The sequence below is a fragment of the Homo sapiens genome, chromosome 8 (assembly GCF_000001405.40).
Source record: "Homo sapiens chromosome 8, GRCh38.p14 Primary Assembly".
Lineage (NCBI taxonomy): Eukaryota > Metazoa > Chordata > Mammalia > Primates > Hominidae > Homo > Homo sapiens.
In genome coordinates, this window is record NC_000008.11 from 128,757,410 (window position 1) to 128,778,438 (window position 21,029).

General features: G+C 39.0%; 1 annotated feature.

Annotated features, from left to right (window-relative positions):
• Window positions 10,793-11,733: an enhancer, noted in NCBI's record as "OCT4-NANOG hESC enhancer chr8:129780448-129781388 (GRCh37/hg19 assembly coordinates)". NCBI's record gives its function as "activates a minimal SCP1, AML or CMV promoter by ChIP-STARR-seq in naive H9 embryonic stem cells {active_cell/tissue: H9 hESC(naive)}" and the evidence as "EXISTENCE:reporter gene assay evidence [ECO:0000049][PMID:30033119]".

Here is a 21,029-nt window from a genome sequence, read left to right on the forward strand (position 1 = left end):
GAGAAAATTATCTTTACTAAAAGAAAGACAAGAAGGAAAGAAAAAGAAAGAGAAGTCCAGAAAACAATAACAAAATAAGAGAAGTAAGTCCTTATCTATTAATAATTACATTGAATATTCATTACCTAAACTCTCCAATAAAAAGACATAGAGTGGATAAATAAATAAAAATAAACAAGACACAGTGACCTGTTGCCTACAAGAAACATATTTCACCTACAAAGATACACATAGACTGAAAATAAAGGGATGGAAAATGATATTTCATGCAAATGAAAGCCCCAAAAAAGTAGGAGAAGGTATGCTTATATCAGACAAAATAGACTTCAAGAAAAAACTGAAAGGAGAGAAAAAGAAAGTCATTAAATAATAATAAAGGGGTTAATTATTCAACAGATATGACGATTGTAAATATATGTGCACCCAACACTGAAGCACCCAGATTTATAAAGCAAATATTATTAGAGCTGAAGAGAGAAATAGACCTCAATACAGTAACAGCTGGAGACTTCAACATCCTGCTTTCAGAATTGGACAGATCTTCCAGACAGAAAATCAACAAGAAAACATTGGACTTAATCTGCACTATAGAACAAAAGGACCTAATAGAGATTTACAAAACATTTCCTGCAGAATACACATTCTTTTCCTTAACACATAAATTATTCTCAAAAATAAACCACATGTTACGTCCCAAAGCAAGTCTTAAAAGATTCCAAAAAATTGAATAATATCAAACATCTTCTCTGACAACAATGAAATAAAACTAGTGATCAATAACAACAGGAAACTTGGAAACTATATAATCACATGGTGAATAAACAATATGTCCCTGAATGACCAGTGGGTCAATGAAGAAATTTTAGAAGAAAACTGAAAAATTTATTGAAACAAATGATAATGGAAACACAACATAACAAAACCTATGGGATATAGCAAAAGCAGTAATAAGAGGGAAATATGTAAGTGCCTACATCAAAAAAGAAAAACAAACTTTAAGTAACCTATTGATGCATCTTAAAGAACTAAAAAAAAAAGAGCAAACCAAACCCACAATTAGTAGAAGTAAAGAAATAATAAAGATCAGAGAACAAATAAATAAAACTGAATTGAAGAAAACAAAACAAATGATTGATGCAACCATTTGTTTTTTGAAAAGACAAAGTTGACATATAATTAGCCAGAATAACTTAGATGAAAAGAAAGAAAACCCAAATAAATAAAATAAGAGATGAAAAAGGAGACATTACAACTGATAACACAGAATTTTAAAGGAGTATTTGTGGCTACTGTAGGCAACTATATACCAATAAATTGGAAAATCTAGAGGAAATGGATACATTTCTAGACACAACCTACCAAGATTGAGCCATGAAGAAATTCAATACCTGAACAGACTAATAACAAGTAATGGGTTTGGGCCGGGCACGGTGGCTCACACCTGTAATGCCAGCACGTTGGGGGGCCGAGGCAGGTGGATCACGAGGTCAGGAGATCGAGACCATACTGGCTAATATAGTGAAACCCCATCTCTACTAAAAGTACAAAAAAAAAAAAAATTAGCCAGGTGTGGTTGCGGGCACCTGTAGTCCCAGCTACTCGGGAGACGGAGGCAGGAGAATGGCATGATCCCGGGAAGCAGAGCTTGCAGTGAGCTGAGACCGTGCCACTGCGCTCCAGCCTGAGCGACTGAGCAAGACTCTGTCTCAAAAAAAAAAAAAACAACAAAAAAAAACCAAACAAGTAATGGGTTTGAAAGCTGGAATAAAAAGTCTCCCAGTAAAGAAAACCCTGGGACCCAACAGCCTCACTGCTGAATTCTATCAAACATTTAAAGAAGAACTGATACCAATCCTACTCAAACTCTTCTGAAAAATAGAGGTGGAAGTACTTTCAAACTCATTCCTTTAGGCCAATATTACCCTGATACCAAAACCAGACAAAGACATATAAAAAATAATAATAAGAGAAAACTACAGGCTAATATCCCTGATGCATACTGATGCAAAAATTAACAACAAATATTAGCAAACCAAATTCAACAATATAGTAAAAATACAATTTATCATGATCAAGTGGGATTTATCTCAGGAATGCAAGGATGGTTCAGCATATGCAAATGAATCAATATGGTACATAGTTCAGCAGAATGAAAGACAAAAACCGTCTGATCATTTCAATTGATGCTGAAAAAGCATTTGATAAAATTCAACATTTTTTATGAAAAAAACCCTCAAAAAACTGGGTGCAGAAGAAACATACCTCAATATAATAAAAGCCATATACAACAGACCCATAGCTAGTATCATACTGAATAGGGAAAATAGAAAGCCTTTCCTTTAAGGTTTGAAACAATACAAGGATTCCCACTCTACCACTGTTATTTAACCTAGTACTAGAAGTCTTAGAGGATTCAGACAAGAGAGAGAAATAAAGGTCGAGGGGCAGCCAAGATGGCCGAATAGGAACAGCTCCGGTCTACAGCTCCCAGCGTGAGCGACACAGAAGACGGGTGATTTCTGCATTTCCATCTGAGGTACCGGGTTCATCTCACTAGGGAGTGCCAGACAGTGGGCGCAGGACAGTGGGTGCAGTGCACCGTGCGCGAGCTGAAGCAGGGCGAGGCATTGCCTCACTCGGGAAGCACAAGGGGTCAGGGAGTTTCCTTTCCTAGTCAAAGAAAGGGGTGACAGACAGCACCTGGAAAGTCAGGTCACTCCCACCCTAATACTGCACTTTTCCAACGGGCTTAAAAAATGGGGCACCAGGAGAGTATATCCCGCACCTGGCTCGGAGGGTCCTACGCCAACGGAGTCTGGCTGATTGCTAGCACAGCAGTCTGAGATCAAACTGCAAGGCAGCAGTGAGGCTGGGGGAGGGGCGTCCGCCATTGCCCAGGCTTGCTTAGGTAAACAAAGCAGCCGGGAAGCTCGAACTGCGTGGAGCCCACCGCAGCTCAAGGAGGCCCGCCTGCCTCTGTAGGCTCCACCTCTAGGGGCAGGGCACAGACAAACAAAAAGACAGCAGTAACCTCTGCAGACTTAAATGTCCCTGTCTGACAGCTTTGAAGAGAGAAGTGGTTCTCCCAGCAAGCAGCTGGAGATCTGAGAACAGGCAGACTGCCTCCTCAAGTGGGTCCCTGACCCCTGACTCCCGAGCAGCCTAACTGGGAGGCACCCCCCAGTGGGGGCAGACTGACACCTCACACGGCCGGGTACTCCTCTGAGGAAAAACTTCCAGAGGAACGATCAGACAGCAGTATTTGTGGTTCACGAAAATCTGCTGTTCTGCAGCCACCGCTGCTGGTACCCAGGCAAACAGGGTCTGGAGTGGACCTCTAGCAAACTCCAACAGACCTGCAGCTGAGGGTCCTGTCTGTTAGAAGGAAAACTAACAAACAGAAAGGACATCCACACCAAAAACCCATCTGTACATCACCATCATCAAAGACCAAAAGCAGATAAAACCACAAAGATGGGGAAAAAACAGAACAGAAAAACTGGAAACTCTAAAAAGCAGAGTGCCTCTCCTCCTCCAAAGGAATGCAGTTCCTCACCAGCAACAAAACAAAGCTGGACAGAGAATGACTGTGACGAGTTGAGAGAAGAAGGCTTCAGACAATCAAACTACTCCGAGCTACAGGAGGAAATTCAAACCAAAGGAAAAGAAGTTAAAAACTTTGAAAAAATTTAGACGAATGTATAACTAGAATAACCAATACAGAGAAGTGCTTAAAGGAGCTGATGGAGCTGAAAGCCAAGGCTCGAGAACTACATGAAGAATGCAGAAGCCTCAGGAGCCGACGCGATCAACTGGAAAAAAGGGTATCATCAGCGATGGAAGATGAAGTGAATGAAATGAAGCGAGAAGGAAAGTTTAGAGAAAAAAGAATAAAAAGAAATGAACAAAGCCTCCAAGAAATATGGGACTATGTGAAAAGGCCAAATCTACGTCTGATTGGTGTACCTGAAAGTGACGGGGAGAATGGAACCAAGTTGGAAAACACTCTGCAGGATATCATCCAGGAGAACTTCCCCAATCTAGCAAGGCAGGCCAACGTTCAGATTCAGGAAATACAGAGAACGCCACAAAGATACTCCTCGAGAAGAATAACTCCAAGACACATAATTGTTATATGCACCAAAGTTGAAATGAAGGAAAAAATGTTAAGGGCAGCCAGAGAGAAAGGTCGGGTTACCCACAAAGGGAAGCCCACCAGGCTAACAGCTGATCTCTCGGCAGAAACTCTACAAGCCAGAAGAGAGTGGGAGCCAATATTCAACATTCTTAAAGAAAAGAATTTTCAACCCCGAATTTCATATCCAGCCAAATGAAGCTTCATAAGTGAAGGAGAAATAAAATACTTTACAGACAAGCAAAGGCTGAGAGATTTTGTCACCACCAGGCCTGCCCTAAAAGACCTCCTGAAGGAAGTGCTAAACATGGAAAGGAACAACTGGTACCAGTCACTGCAAAAGCATGCCAAATTGTAAAGACCATCAAGGCTAGGAAGAAACTGCATCAACTAACAAGCAAAATAACCAGATAACATCATAATGACAGGATCAAATTCACACATAACAATACTAACCTTAAATGTAAATGGGCTAAATGCTCCAATTAAAAGGCACAGACTGGCAAATTGGATAAACAGTCAAGACCCAACAGTGTGCTGTATTCAGGAAACCCATCTCACGTGCAGAGACACACATAGGCTCAAAATAAAGGGATGGAGGAAGATCTACCAAGCAAATGGAAAACAAAAAAAGGCAGAGGTTGCAATCCTAGTCTCGGATAAAACAGACTTTAAACCAACAAAGATCAAAAGAGACAAAGAAGGCCATTACATAATGGTAAAGGGATCAATTCAACAAGAAGAGCTAACTATCCTAAATATATATGCACCCAATACAGGAGCACCCAGATTCATAAAGCAAGTCCTGAGTGACTTACAAAGAGACTTAGACTCCCACACAATAATAATGGGAGACTTTAACACCCCACTGTCAACATTATATAGATCAACGAGACAGAAAGTTAACAAGGATATCCAGGAATTGAACTCAGCTCTGCACCAAGCAGACCTAATAGACATCTACAGAACCCTCCACCCCAAATCAACAGAATATACATTCTTTTCAGCACCACATCACACTTATTCCAAAATTGACCACATACTTGGAAGTAAAGCACTCCTCAGCAAATGTAAAAGAGCAGAAATTATAACAAACTGTCTCTCAGACCACAGTGCAATCAAACTAGAACTCAGGATTAAGAAACTCACTCAAAACCGCTCAACTACATGGAAACTGAACAACCTGCTCCTGAATGACTACTGGGTACATAACAAAATGAAGGCAGAAATAAAGATGTTCTTTGAAACCAGCAAGAACAAAGACACAACATACCAGAATCTCTGGGACGCATTCAAAGCAGTGTGTAGAGGGAAATTTATAGCACTAAATGCCCACAAGAGAAAGCAGGAAAGATCCAAAATTGACACCCTAACATCACAACTAAAAGAACTAGAGAAGCAAGAGCAAACACATTCAAAAGCTAGCAGAAGGCAAGAAATAACTAAAATCAGAGCAGAACTGAAGGAGATAGAGACACAAAAAACCCTTCAAAAAATCAGTGAATCCAGGAGCTGTTTTTTTTGAAAAGATCAACAAAATTGATAGATTGCTAGCAAGACTAATAAAGAAGAAAAGAGAGAAAAATCAAGTAGACACAATAAAAAATTATAAAGGGGATATCACCACCGATCCCACAGACATACAAACTACCATCAGAGAATACTATAAACACCTCTATGCAAATAAACTAGAAAATCTAGAAGAAATGGATAAATTCCTGGACACAAACACCCTCCCAAGACTAAACCAGGAAGGAGTTGAATCCCTGAATAGACCAATAACAGGATCTGAAATTGAGGCAATAATTAATAGCCTACCAACCAAAAAAAGTCCAGGAAAAGATGGATTCACAGCCAAATTCTACCGGAGGTACAAGGAGGAGCTAGTACCATTCCTTTTGAAACTATTCCAATCAATAGAAAAAGAGGGATCCTCCCTAACTCATTTTATGAGGCCAGCATCATCCTGATACCAAAGCCTGACAGAGACACAACAAAAAAAGAGAATTTTAGACCAATATCCCTGATGAACATTGATGCAAAAATCCTCAATAAAATACTGGCAAACCAAATCCAGCAGCATATCAAAAAGCTTATCCACCATGATCAAGTGGGCTTCATCCCTGGGATGCAAGGCTGGTTCAATATACGCAAATCAATAAACGTAATCCAGCATATAAACAGAACCAAAGACAAAAACCCCATGATTATCTCAATAGATGCAGAAAAGGCCTTTGACAAAATTCAACAGCCCTTCATGCTAAAAACTCTCAATAAATTAGGTATTGATGGGACATATCTCAAAATAATAAGAGCTATTTATGACAAACCTACAGCCAATATGATACTCCATGGGCAAAAACTGGAAGCATTCCCTTTGAGAACTGGCAAAAGACAGGGATGCCCTCTCTCACCACTCCTATTCAACATAGTGTTGGAAGTTCTGGCCAGGGCAATTAGGCAGGAGAAGGAAATAAAGGGTATTCAATTAGGAAAAGAGGAAGTCAAATTGTCCCTGTATGCAGATGACATGGTTGTGTATCAGAAAACCCCATCGTCTCAGCCCAAAATCTCCTTAAGCTGATAAGCAACTTCAGCAAAGTCTCAGGATACAAAATCAATGTGCAAAAATCACAAGCATTCTTATACACCAATAACAGACAGACAGCCAAATCATGAGTGAATTCCCATTCACAATTGCTTCAAAGTGAATAAAATACCTAGGATTCGAACTTACAAGGGATGTGAAGGACCTCTTCAAGGAGAACTACAAACCACTGCTCAATGAAATAAAAGAGGACACAAACAAATGGAAGAACATTCCATGCTCATGGATAGGAAGAATCAATATTGTGAAAATGGCCATACTGCCCAATGTAATTTATAGATTCAATGCCATCCCCATCAAGCTACCAATGACTTTCTTCACAGAATTGGAAAAAACTACTTTAAAGTTCATATGGAACCGAAAAAGAGCCCGCACCACCAAGTCAATCCTAAGCCAAAAGAACAAAGCTGGAGGCATCACACTACCTGACTTCAAACTATACTACGAGGCTATAGTAACCAAAACAGCATGGTACTGACACCAAAACAGAGCTATAGACCAATGGAACAGAACAGAGCCCTCAGAAATAATACCACACGTCTACAACCATCTGATCTTTGACAAACCTGACAAAAACAAGAAATGGGGAAAAGCTTCCCTATTTAATAAATGGTGCTGGGAAAACTGGCTAGCCACATGTAGAAAGCTGAAACTGGATCCCTTCCTTACACCTTGTACAAAAATTAATTCAAGATGGATTAAAGACTTACATGTTAGACCTAAAACCATAAAAACCCTAGAAGAAAACCTAGGCAATACCATTGGCATGGGCAAGGACTTCATGTCTAACACACCAAAAGCAATGGCAACAAAAGCCAAAATTGACAAATGGGATCTAATTAAACTAAAGAGTTTCTGCACAGCAAAAGAAACCACCATCAGAGTGAACAGGTAACCTAAAGAATGGGAGAAAATTTTTGCAATCTACTCATCTGACAAAGGGCTAATATCCAGAATCTAGACAGAAATCAAACAAATTTACAAGAAGAAAACAAACAACCCCATCAAAAAGTAGGCAAAGGATATGAACAGACACTTCTCAAAAGAGACATTTATGCAGCTGACAGACACATGAAAAAATGCTCATCATCACTGGCCATCAAAGAAATGCAAATCAAAACCACAATGAGATACCATCTCACACCAGTTAGAATGGTGATCATTAAAAAGTCAGGAAACAACAGATGCTGGAGAGGATGTGGAGAAATAGGAACACTTTTACACAGTTGGTGGGACTGTAAACTAGTTCAACCATTGTGGAAGACAGTGTCGCAATTCCTCAAGGATCTAGAATTAGAAATACCATTTGACCCAGCCATCCCATTACTGGGTATATACCCAAAGGATTATAAAACATGCTGCTATAAAGACACATGCACACGTATGTTTATTGTGGCACTATTCACAATAGCAAAGACTTGGAACCAACCCAAATGTCCAACAATGATAGACTGGATTAAGAAAATTTGGCACATACACACCATAGAATACTATGCAGCCATGAAAAAGGATGAGTTCATGTCCTTTGTATGGACTTGGATGAAGCTGGAAACCATCATCCTTAGCAAACTATCACAAGGACAAACAACCAAATATCACATGTTCTCACTCATAGGTGGGAATTGAACAATGAGAACACATGGACACAGGAAGGGGAACATCACACACCAGGGCCTGTTGTGCGTTGGGGGGAGGGGGGAGGGATAGCATTAGGGGATATACCTAATGTAAATGACGAGTTAATGTGTGCAGCACAACAACATGGCACATGTATACGTATGTAACCAACCTGCACGTTGTGCACATGTACTCTATAACTTAAAGTACAAAAAAAAAAAAAAAAGCTCCTGCACAACAAAGGAAACAATCAACAAAATGAAGATGGAACCTACAGTCATAAAAGAAATGAGATTCCATTATTTGCAACAACATGGATGAAAATGGAATTCGTTAGGTAAAATCAGTCAGGAACAGAAAGACAAACTTCACATATTCTCACTTATTTGTGGGAGCTAAAAATTAAAACAAGCTCATTTTTTGAGGAAGATGATGGTGTATAGGAGACAGGGTTAATGTTCAATTTCCATCTGGATGGACAGAACAGTGTGTGGAGGCTCACACTATGAACATTTGCTCCAAGAACCACCACAAGAATGCACGAGGAAAACTGAAGGAATTCACAGACCCTTTGAAAGAAGTGTCATGCTGTTGCAAATTCCATGAGACAGGAGAAAAACTGAATTCCCAAAGTGCGAGTGGGGAAAACCTGCCTCAGAACATGCATCCTTACTGGGGAATCTGAAAATCCAGATCACAGGAGAAGGATTTAACCTTACCCAGAGCTGAAATGAATTTAGGGAGCTGCGCAAAATATGAAAGTGGAAGCAGCAGCAGGAAAAGCCTTGTAGGCATTCTAGGTCCCCAGCTCAAGCCCAGGGAAGCCATCCCTGACTATATTCCACTGGGGCCCTTGGAGAAGGCAGCCACCAAAATTAAAGAGGGGTCACAGGGTGAAAGAAGCTTCCAATTGAAATTTGGGATAATTTCGACTGGGCATGAATTTTCTTAAGCAGAATCCAGAAGCAAATAGGAACTGCTGGAGACATGAGTGCAAGAGTCCACTGCCAATATTGTGGGCAGATGGGGAGGGAGAGGCCTAAAAGCTGTGCTTGCTTTCTTAGCAGGGAAGCTTACTGTCTGGGGGAAGGTCTGAGCAGGGCACTGTGGAGCAAGGCTTCTTGCCAACCATGTAGGAACTGGGTAAGGCCTTTCATTAGTAACTATCCCCCAATTCCCTGGCAAACTATGACACTGCAGAGGCAGCCATAATCCCTTACGGAACTTAACTGTATTGGTCTGAGAGCCACCCCCTCCTACCTCCACAGTGGCAATAGCAAGCCCCACCCAAGGAGAGTCTGAGCCCAGATCTGCCTAAATCTGCTCCCACCTGATAGTATTTCTCTACCCACCCTGGTACCTGAACACAAAACAAATAAACTCTTCAGGGTCTTATGACCCATCACTTGAGAAACCAGAATACTCAACCTGGCCAACTTAGGGCAAGCTTAAGCTTAGATAGATCCCCCTACTACTACGGCAGCTGGTGCTCTCTTGAAAGAGTCACCTCCTTGCTGGAGGCCAACCAACTTAGGCCATTACAGCAACTCATGACAGAATAACCCTGCTCCCAGGAAGGAGAAAACAACAGCTAATTCTACTGCCTGCAACATCCTGGTTAACCAGAGGTCCTGAGCCTGTCTGTGTGACAACTTCACTGCTAGCATAGCCAACATTCAAGGAAGCCAGTGGACTAAACATATCTACAACCAAGGACTCTCACAGAGTCTATTTCACTCCACTGCCACCTCCACCAGAGCAGGTGCTGGTATCCATGGCTGGGACACCTGAAGACAGATCATATCAGAGGACTATTTTCAGACATTCCCCAGCACCAGCCCAGAGCCTGGTAGTCCTGCTGAATGGCTAGACCCAGAAGAGAAATAATAATCACTGAAGTCTGGCTCTCCGGAAGACCCATCCCTAGGGGAAGGGGAAGGGTACCACATCAAGGGATCATCCCATGGGACAAAAGAATCTAAAGAGCAGGCCTTGAGTTCCAGGCCTTTCCACTTAAATAGTCTACCCAAATGAGAAGGAACTAGAAAAGTACTCCAGTAATATGACAAAACAGGGATTTGTAAGACCCCCTAAAAGATAAAGATTACATTAGCTCCCCAGTAATGGATCCAAACCAAGGAGAAATCTCTGAATTGTCAGATAAAGAATTCAGAAGGTTGATTATTAAGCTACTCAAGGAGATACCAGAGAAAAATGAAAATCAACTTAAACAAATTTTTTAAAATGCAGAATATGGTTGAAAAATTCTGCAGAGAAATAGATATAAAGAAAACAACAATCAGAACTTCAGGAAATATAAGACACACTTAGAGAAATACAAAATGCACTGAAAAGTTTCAACAATAGACTTACAACAAGTAGAACTTCAGAGCTTAAAGACAAGGCCTTCACATTAATCCAGTCAGACAAAGACAAAGTAAAAAGGGTTTTAAAAAATGAACAAACCCTCCAAGAAACTTGGGATTATGTTAAATGGTCAAACATAAGAATAATTGGTGTTCCTGAGGAGAAATCTAACAGTTTGGAAAGCTTATTTGAGGGAATAATTGAGGAAAACTTCCCTTGCCTTGCTAGAGATCTAGACATCCAAGTACAAGACTCTCAAAGAACATTGCGGAAATTCATCACATAAAGATAATCACTTAGGCACATAAATCATCAGGTTATCTTAAGTCAAGATGAAGGAAAGAATCATAAGAGATGTGAGACAAAAGCATCAGGTAACCTATAAAGGAAAACCTATCAGATTAACAGCAGGTTTCTCAGCAGGAATCTTACAAGCCAGCCAAGAATTTTGTATTCGTCAATCTAAGTTTCATAAATGAAGGAGAGATAAAGTCTTTTTTAGATGAACAAATGCTGAGAGAATTCACCAATACCAAGCCAGCAATACAAGAAATGCCAGAAGAATTTCTAAATCTTGAAATAAAACCTTGAAATATACCGAAATAGAACCTCCTTAAAGCATAAACCTTACAGGACCTATGAAACAATAACACAGTGAAAAAAACAAGGCATTGAATCACAACTAGCATGATGAATAGAACGGTACTTTACATTTCAATACTAATGTTGAATGTAAATGGCCTAAAGGCTCCACCCAAAACAAGCTTGTCTAACTTGCAGCCTGCAGGCTGCATGCAGCTCAGGATAGCTTTGAATACAGCCCAACACAAATCCATAAACTTTCTTAAAACATTATGACTTTTTTTGTGATTTTTTTCTTTTTTTAGCTCATCAGCTATTGTTAGTGTATTTTATGTGTGGCCCAAGACAATTCTTCTTCTTCCAACATGACCCAGGGAAGTCAAAGATTAGACACCCTGAATTAAAAGATACAGACTGGCAGAATGAATAAAAATCCACTGGGCAAATATTTGCCTTCCTCAAGAGACTCACCTAATACATAAAGATTCACATAAACTTAAGGTAAAGAGATTGAAAAAGATATTTCACACAAATGAAAACTAACAGCAAGTAGAAGCAGCTATTCGTAAATCAGACAAATCAGACTTTAAAGAAACAGTTAAAAAAAAAGACAGAGGGACATTATGTAATGATACAGGGATTGGTCCAACAGGAAAATATCACAATCCTAAATATTTATGCACCTAACACTGGAGCTTCCAAATTCGTAAGACGAATATTCCCAGACCTAAGAAATGAGATAGAGGGCAATGCAATAACAGTAGGGTACTTTAATACTCCACTAGCAGCACTAGACAGGCCATCAAGACAAAGTTAACAAAGAAATAACGGACATAAACTATACCCTGGAACAAATGGACTTAGCAGATATTTACAGAACATTCTACCTAACAGCTGCAGAATATACATTCTTTTCATCAGCACATGAAACATTCTCCAAGATAGACCATATGAAAGGTCATAAAACAAGTCTTGATAAATTTAAGAAAATCAAAATTATATCAAGTATCTTCTTAGACCACAAATGGAATAAAACTGGAAATTAACTCCAAAAGGAACCCTCAAAACTATACAGATACATGGAAATCAATCTGCTGTTGAATAATCTTTGGGTTGACAATAAAATTAAGATGGAAATTTAAAAATTCTTTGAACTGAGTGATAATAGTGACACAACTTATCAAAATCTCTGGGATACAGCAAAAGCGGTACTAAGAGGAAATTTCATAGCATTAAATGCCTACATCAGAAAGCCTGAAAGAGTACAAATAGACAATTTAAGGTCACCCCTCAAGGAACTAGAGAAACAAGAACAAACCAATCCCAAACACAGCAGAATAAAAGAAATAACAAAGATCAGAGCAGAACTAAATGAAATTGAAACGAAAACAATACAAACAATATATGAAACAAAAAGATGCATTTTTTTAAAAGATAAACAAAATTGATAGACCATTAGTGAGATTAACAGAGAAAAGAAGAGAGAAGACAGTCTGTAGTGTTCTTTTAGTGTTAAGTCCTTTCCTGGTTTTGGTATTAGGGTAATACTGGCTTCATAGAACGATTTAGGGAGGATTCCCTCTTTCTCTATCTTTTGGAATACTTTCAGTAATATTGTGGCAATTCTTCTTTGAATACCTGGTAGAATTCAGCTGTGAATCCATTTGGTCCTGGCCTTTTTTTGTTGTTGGCGAATTTTTTATTACTGTTTCAATCGCACTACTTTTTATTGGACTGTTCAGAGTTTGTTGAGGATTTTTGCATCTATGTACATCAGGAATATGAGTCTGTTGTTTTCTTTTCTTGTTATGTTCTTCAGCATATCAAAAAGATAATACACCATAATCAAGTGAGTTTCATACCAGGGAGGCAGGGATGGTTAAATATATGCAAGTCAGTAAATATAATACAAGACATAAGCAGAATTAAAAACAAAGATCATATGATCATCTCAATAGATGCAGAAAAAGCATTTGACAAAATCCAGCATCACATTGTTATTAACAGCCTCAGCAAATTGGCATAGAAGGGACATACCTCAAGGTAATAAAAGCCATCTATGACAAACCCACAGCCAACGTTATACTGAATGGGGAAAACTTGAAAGCATTCTCCCTGAGAACTGGAACAAAACAAGGCTGCAACTTTTACCACTTATATTCAACATAGTACTGGAAGTTCTATCCAGAGCAATCATGAAAAGAGAAGAAATAAAGGGTATTCCAGATCAGTAAAGAGGAAGTCAACCCGTAGTTGTTTGCTGATGATATGATTATATACCTAGAAAACCTAAAGACTCATCCAAAAAGCTCCTAGATGGGATAAATACATTCAGTAAGGTTTCAGGATACAAAATCAATGTGCACAAATCAGTAGCACTGCTATACATCAACAACAACCAAGCAGAGAATCAAGTCAAGAGCTTAAGCCTTTTTATAACAGATGCAAAGATAAAATAAAATACTTAACAATATACCTAACCAAAGAGGTGAAAGAGCTCTGCAAGGAAATTTAAAATTTCCCATACTCATTGATGGGTGGAAACAATACTGTGAAAATGATTATACTGCCAATAGCTACCTATAGATTCAATGCAATTTCCATCAAAATGCCATCATCATTCTACAAAGAACTAGAAAAAATAATTCTAAAATTCATATGGAACCAAAAATGACCCCATATAGCCAAAGCAAGTCTAAGCAAAAAGAACACATCAGGAGGCATCACATTACCCAACTTCAAACTGTACTACAAGGCTGAAGTTACCAAAACAGCATGATACTGGTATAAAAATAGACACATAGACCACTGGAACAGAATAGCAAACCCTGAAATAAAGCCAAATACTTACAACCAACTGATCTTAGACAAAGCAAACAAAAATATAAAGTGAGGAAAGTACCTCCTATACAATAAATGGTGCTGGGATAATTGGCAAGCCACATGTAGAAGAATGAAACTAGATTTTCATCTCTCACCTTATACAAAAATCAATTCAGGATGGGTCAAAGACTTAAATCTAAAACCTGAAACCATAAAAATTCTGAAAGACATCAGAAAAACTCTTCCAGACATTGGCTTAGGCAAAAAGCCCATGAACCAAGAACCTAAAAGCAAATGCAATGAAAGCAAAAATAAATAGATGGGACCTAATTAAATTATAAAGCTTCTGCACAGCAAAAGAAATAATCAGTAGGGTAAACAGGCAACCCACAGAGTGGGATAAAATATTTGCAAACTATGCATCCAACAAATGACTAATATCCAGAATCTTCAAGAAACTCAAGCAAATCACCAAGAAAAAAACAAATATTCCCATCAAAAAGTGGGCAAAGGACATGAACAGACATTTCTCAAAAGAAGATATACAAATGTCCAACAAACATATTAAAAAAAAAAAAGCTCAATATCACGAATTATCAGGGAAATGCAAGTTAAAACCTCAACGAGATACCACCTTACTTTTGCAAGAATGGTCATAATTAATAAATAAAAAATAAAAAATGTTGGCATAGATATGGTGAAGAGGGAACACTTTTACACTGTTGGTGGGAATGTAAACTAGTACAATCACTATGGAAAACAGTGTGGAGATTCCTTAAAGCACTAAAAGTAGAACTACCATTTGTTCTAGCAATCCCACTGCTGGATATCTACCCAGAGGAAAAGAAGTCATTATGTGAAAAAGACACTGGCACATGCACCTCCACGTTTATAGAGGCACAATTTGCAACTGCAAAAATATAGAACCAGCCTAAATGCCCATCACCAATGAGTGGACAAAGAAAATATGATATATATCACATGTATGTGTGTGTGTGTTTGTGTGTGTGTTATATACACACACCATGGAATACTACTCAGCCATAAAAAGGAATAAAATAATGGCATTTGCAGCAACCTGGATGGAATAGGAGACCATTATTCTAAGTGAAATAACTCAGGAATGGAAAACCAAATATCATATGTTCTCACTTGTAAGTGGGAGCTAGATATATATTAATATAAAAATATCTAAAATGCCCTTAGCACAGTGCATGGTATATAGAAGATGCTTAATAATTGTGTACAGAAGAAATGCCTAGATGTGTCTATTAGTCCCTAATGTCCACTGATTCTCATTTATCCTGAGTGTGTAGATGCTTACATTGAGAAAAGGACATTCATAAAGAGCTTCTTTAAAGTTGCAATCTACCTTTTCTCCAATAAGACACTTCTCTTGGTCTGAAGCGAAGGCTGGGTAGGGGGACCCACTGGAAACTAATGCAGTTGCTGAAGCAGCAAATTAACCTACTATACAAGGAGAGGGGCCTCAGGGCTCGAAGCAGGGACTTAATAAGGTGAAATGTGATTAATAGATTGGGACTCAAGAACAAGAGCCTTCTTAATGCAAAGAAATGTCCTGAATGTAAGCTCAGAGTGAAATGGCCCAAAAGCTGCCAGTGATCTGAAGCACAGAGAGGAAAGAGGCTTTGGCTGGACCAGTGTAGAGCTCAGTCTTCCCAGGTCAATGGCCCTGCATGAGCAGAGCTGTGCTGCCAGAGCCAGAAGGGGCTTTCTGAAACTCCCTGATCAACTTCTGTTTAACAGGTATGAAAATGAAGACCTAAAGGAAGAGACTTACCCATTGGTGTGTAGGTATGTGGAATCAGAATTGTTTCCAGAGTACATAATTTGATCCTTGAACCATGCAGAGTTTAGGGGTGCTGACACCCTGCACAGTCAAAAATTCACATATAAATTTAACTCACCAGAAACTTAACTACTGATAGCCTACTGTTGATTGGTAGTCCTATCAATAACTTATACAGTTGATTAACATGTTTGGTGTGTTATATGCATTATTTACTGTAGTCTTACAAGAAAGTAAGCTAGAAAAAAAGAAAATGTTATTAAGAAAATCATAAGGAAAAGACAATATATTTACTATTCATTAAGTGCAATTAGATCATAAAGTTCTCTATCCTCATCTTCACATTAAGGAGGCTGGGGAAGAGAAGGTGTTGGTCTTGTTGTCTCAGGAGTGGCAGAGGCAGAAGAAAAGCTGTGCATGAGTGTAACCCTACAGTTCAAACTTCTGTTGTTCAAAGGTCAACTGTGTTTGCTTGTTTAGTACAAATGAAAATCAAACCACTTCAGAACTAGATGCATAGGCTCTGAAAATAAGCTCAATTTATCATGGGAGACCTGTTCTTTTCACTTTTCTCTGCTGTGAACTGAATTGTGGCTCCCTTTGAAGAATGAGGGCAAGAGCTCCTGGTGCTAAATAAGAAAATAAACTATTGATATCGTGTCTGAGGGGATTTTAACCAGCCTTTCCAGAATTGTTGCAGTGACATTTTGCCCATCAAAGGTCATGTATCCTGGTGCTCAAGACCCGTTGGCCTGAGCTAACTTGAAGGTGACACAAGCTGAAGTTGTGGTTTTTAGAATGTCAGTCTACTCCAAATATAAGACTGCATTGTTCTTTGTGGTCATAGGTGTCATCTGGCTGTTTGTCACTGTAATTAAAACCTAATTCTTGTATTTTGTTATAAACATCACACATTTATGTATAGACTTCAATGTACACACTCAGCTGCTCATGCACTTTATCACATCTAATGGGTACTATATATGGCTGAAGCCCTACTCAGCTCTTGCCAGACACCTGTTTATTTTAGAAAATGGTAGCCTTGGTATGGTTACAAAAATGCTTTGTTACATCTTGAGGACAGTAATTGCATCCTTTCCCTAAATTTCATTAAGAGGATTAAATGAAATTACTTAAGATTACTTGCTCTAGAAACATTATTAAAATTGTTAAAATACAGTCCATATCATAATTTTTAAAAATATTTCTCAAATTCTCTTATGTATATTAGCAGGAAGTTGTGTGTCTCCTCAAATTCCTGATCATTCTTTCATCTTGTCTTTAATCCTGTGGTATTTGCTCAGTTGACCAGACAGCTCATTTCGACTTCAATGGCACATGGAAGGGAATACAAAGCCTGTTCAGTTTCCATCCTTTTCCATCCTTCACTGTATGGGTTCCTGCGGCCAAGTGGTATCAACATTGTAGACTGTCCATGGACACTCTAATATGCCTTGGTCTTCACTGCTGTCATCTGGATTCTTGCCAGCATTTTAAGGGAGCTCAGCTGTGGTTCCCCAAAATACAAAACAACTACTGAGAAGGCTGGGTAGGAGGGTAGTTTCTTGTATCAGCCACTGGTTCTGCTGGAACTCTCTTTCATGTTTTTTTGCCTCTAAGTTGACCACGGATCATCAGTGAAGCTTTTTGAGGTTAATTTTATTCCAGAAGCCTGGCTGTTTAGTAGATCCTGTATCTTTATTAGAACCTCTCTTGACCTCTCTTATAGACACCTCCTTCCCCTTTACACTTTGTAAACTCAAAATCTAAGAGAGAAAAATAAGGATTGTCATTTATTTCCTTTCTGAAAACAGCTCTGATTTCCCAGACTAAATTGATCTACTTCCTGGCCAGTGTCCAGCTTTGTATAACATAGATTTTAGAAAACGGTAGCCTTGATATGGTTACAAAAATGCTGTGTTACATCTTGAGGACAGTAATTGCATCCTTTTCCTAAATTTCATTAAGAGGATTATCCAAGTGATCTTTTGTAGGATTAAGAACTTCGGGTTTTTTTTTTTAAATATAAAGCTGGATATTGTTGCAATAGATGATAGCATAAGGCGCCATGGTAAACTAAAAATACCCATGGATTAAGAATCAGGAGATGTTTAAGGAGGGTTGACATAGGTGATCCCTAGGGTGTCAGCAGGGGAAGAAAATCAAAACACCCATTGTTTACTAAGTGCTTGTTATGTATTCAACACCTGTTATATGCAGTTATAAACTTTAAGCAACCTGAAGATAGGTGACATCTATTTTATTTACTTTTTATGTCAGTGCTCATCACAGTACCTGACACAGTTTAGAAGTTCAACAACAACTTCTAGAATAATTTTCAGGATAAGTGAATGAACAAGAGGAGGTAATATTTTTAATTTATTTTTTAAAGTGGGAAATTAGGCTTAAAGACGTTAGGTAACTTGCTCAAATTTACACAACTGTTGTGTAGAAAAGCTTAGGATTTAATAATGAATGATCTCTTTGATTCTACAATATATTATCTTCCCTATGCCATGGGCTTTTATTCAACAGATAGATAATTATTTAGATATCTTTTAGTTTAGGGGAAGTTCGGTAGAATTGAAATGCAATGTAGGGAGCCACATTAATCTTAGTTATGTATTAAGTAGGTAACCCAAGCAGCTGTTTGGAGAACTAAAACGCAGCAAGCGTGAAAACAGATTCCATTTGGTAGGCTACAGCAGCTGTCTAGGCAGTATGTAATAATGGATAGGACTACAGTGACTACATTGGACATGGAGGAAAATAACCAGGTTTGAGATGTGTTATGAGATGAATTGAGGTGACTTGCTGATGGGCAAGAAAGAAAGAGAAGAATTAAGGAAAAGCCGGGCATAGTGGCTTGCACCTGCAATCCCAGCACTTTGGAAGGCTGAGGCGTGTGGATCACCTGAGGTCAGGAGTTCGCGACCAGCCTGGCCAACATGGTGAAACCCCGTCTCTACTAAAAGTACAAAAAATTAGCAGAGCGTGGTGGCATACACCTGTAATCCCAGCTACTCTGGAGGCTGAGGCAGGAGAATTGCGTGAACCCGGGAGGCGGAGGTTGCAGTGAGCCAAGGTTGCGCCGTTGCACTCCAGCCTGGGTAACAAGAATGAAAGTCCATCTCAAAAATAAATAAATAAATAAATAAATAAATAAATAAATAAATAAGGTTTTTTTAAAAGACTTTTGGCTTAAATACTGAATGGATGGTAATACCATTCCCTAAGTTATAAAAGTCTATGGGAGGCATAATTTTGCAGTATGGGGAACCAAGAGTTTTCTTTTGAACATATATTCTTTGATATGTATGTTAGGTAAGCAGGTAGCTATGTGAAGTAGGCTTCTGGATACATGATCCTGGACTTCTGGAAAGGGATGAGTGTGGGAGACATGTACATGGGAGTCTCTGGCTTGCATAGAGTACTTAAAGCCCTGGGCCCCTAACTGTAAAGGTCTCTTCAGCAAAGTAGCTCAGGGTAGCCAGAAAACCACAGCATACTTGGCAGGAACACTCATTATGTCCTCAAAGTGGCTTGAGTTGCTGGTTGCTCCCTAGGTTTGGCAGAAAGGTTGAAAGCAAAAACAGTCTTCACTGAGAATTCCCTGTAGCACAATATCAGATTTAAAAACTAGCAGGGTACACTCTGCTGTAGACATAGACTAAGCACAGACTCAACCACTACAAGTCCTAAAGAAATTAAAATGAGCTTTTGGATTTGTCAAAACACATTAACAATATCAAACGTTTAGATATGAGCAAGTAGGATCTGATGACTATTTTCTCCTATCCTAGAAAAGAAAACACACATCAACAGGCCACACCCTGGAGATTTGATGCACTGAAGCTTTCAGAAGTCTTGCATGCTGTTTCCACTGGAGAACTGATTGTGTCACATTGCCATGATTCATCCAGTGTCTGCCTTCCCTTATACTCTGGGCAGAGATGAACCCTTCTTTGCCATCTCTCCAGCCGCATAAAGTCACTGAAGCATTATATTGGCTCAGTCATTGTGGGTTGATGAATCCAGTGAGCACTTGAGAAGGTCCATTTTCAAAATATCTCACAGGACAACTTGATGGAAAATAAAAATAATTCTTTTGTGAAATTTCATTTCTATAAGCAGCAATGAGTCTTCATATTTGTTGAGTACTTATTTTCCTGTCACCAACATTTGCTGCAATTCCCTTTCTATAAGATCAAAGGACCATATATATATAATAAATGATCATAGGGTGTTTGTTTGTTTTGAGTTGGAGTCTTGCTCTGTTGCCCAAGCTGGAGTGCAGTGGCATGATCTCGGCTCACTGCAACCTCCGCCTCCTGGGTTCAAGTGATTCTCCTGCCTCAGCTGCCCAGGTAGATGTGATTACAGGTGCCCGCCACTACACTCGGCTAATTTTTGTATTTTTAGGAGAGACAGGGTTTCACCATGTTGGCCAGGCTGGTCTCAAACTCCTGACCTCAAGTGATCCCCCCTCCTCAACCTCCCAAACTGCTGGGATTACCGGTGTAAGCTTGGCCTGATCATACTGTTTAATTTTTTAAAGCCTAATTGTATAAAGCCCTGCTTTCATTCTAGCCACTTGGATCAAGTCAACTACTATTTGTGACTAAATCCAGTGATGCTTTTTGACTTCCATTTTACTGCCTGATACAGTTTGGCTATGTCCAAAGGGGGCAATAGCAGAAAAAAAGAAGCAAACACTTCTAAGACTTCAAATTGTGAAGCATTACGTTTGATCCTGCAACCTACATTAGCTCATGATATTACTACAAGAAATCCCTAGGGTAAGTATTTTTATTCCCATTTTGCAGATAATGCCCAGAAAACTTTACTTTTTTGTCTCAGGTCATGTAGTTTGCCGGAATTTGAAGGGCTGCCACGTGAAAAGGTAATAAACTTGTGGTGTTTTGTTCCAGAGGAAACTCCTAAAACAAATGAGTTCAAATTTCAGGTAGGAAGCTTAGGTATGATATCAGAGAGCAATATCTAACAATTAGAGCTATATTACAATGGTTTGGGGTTTTCAGAGAAATCAGGCAATAAGGTTAAAAAACCATTTATCAGAATTGCTG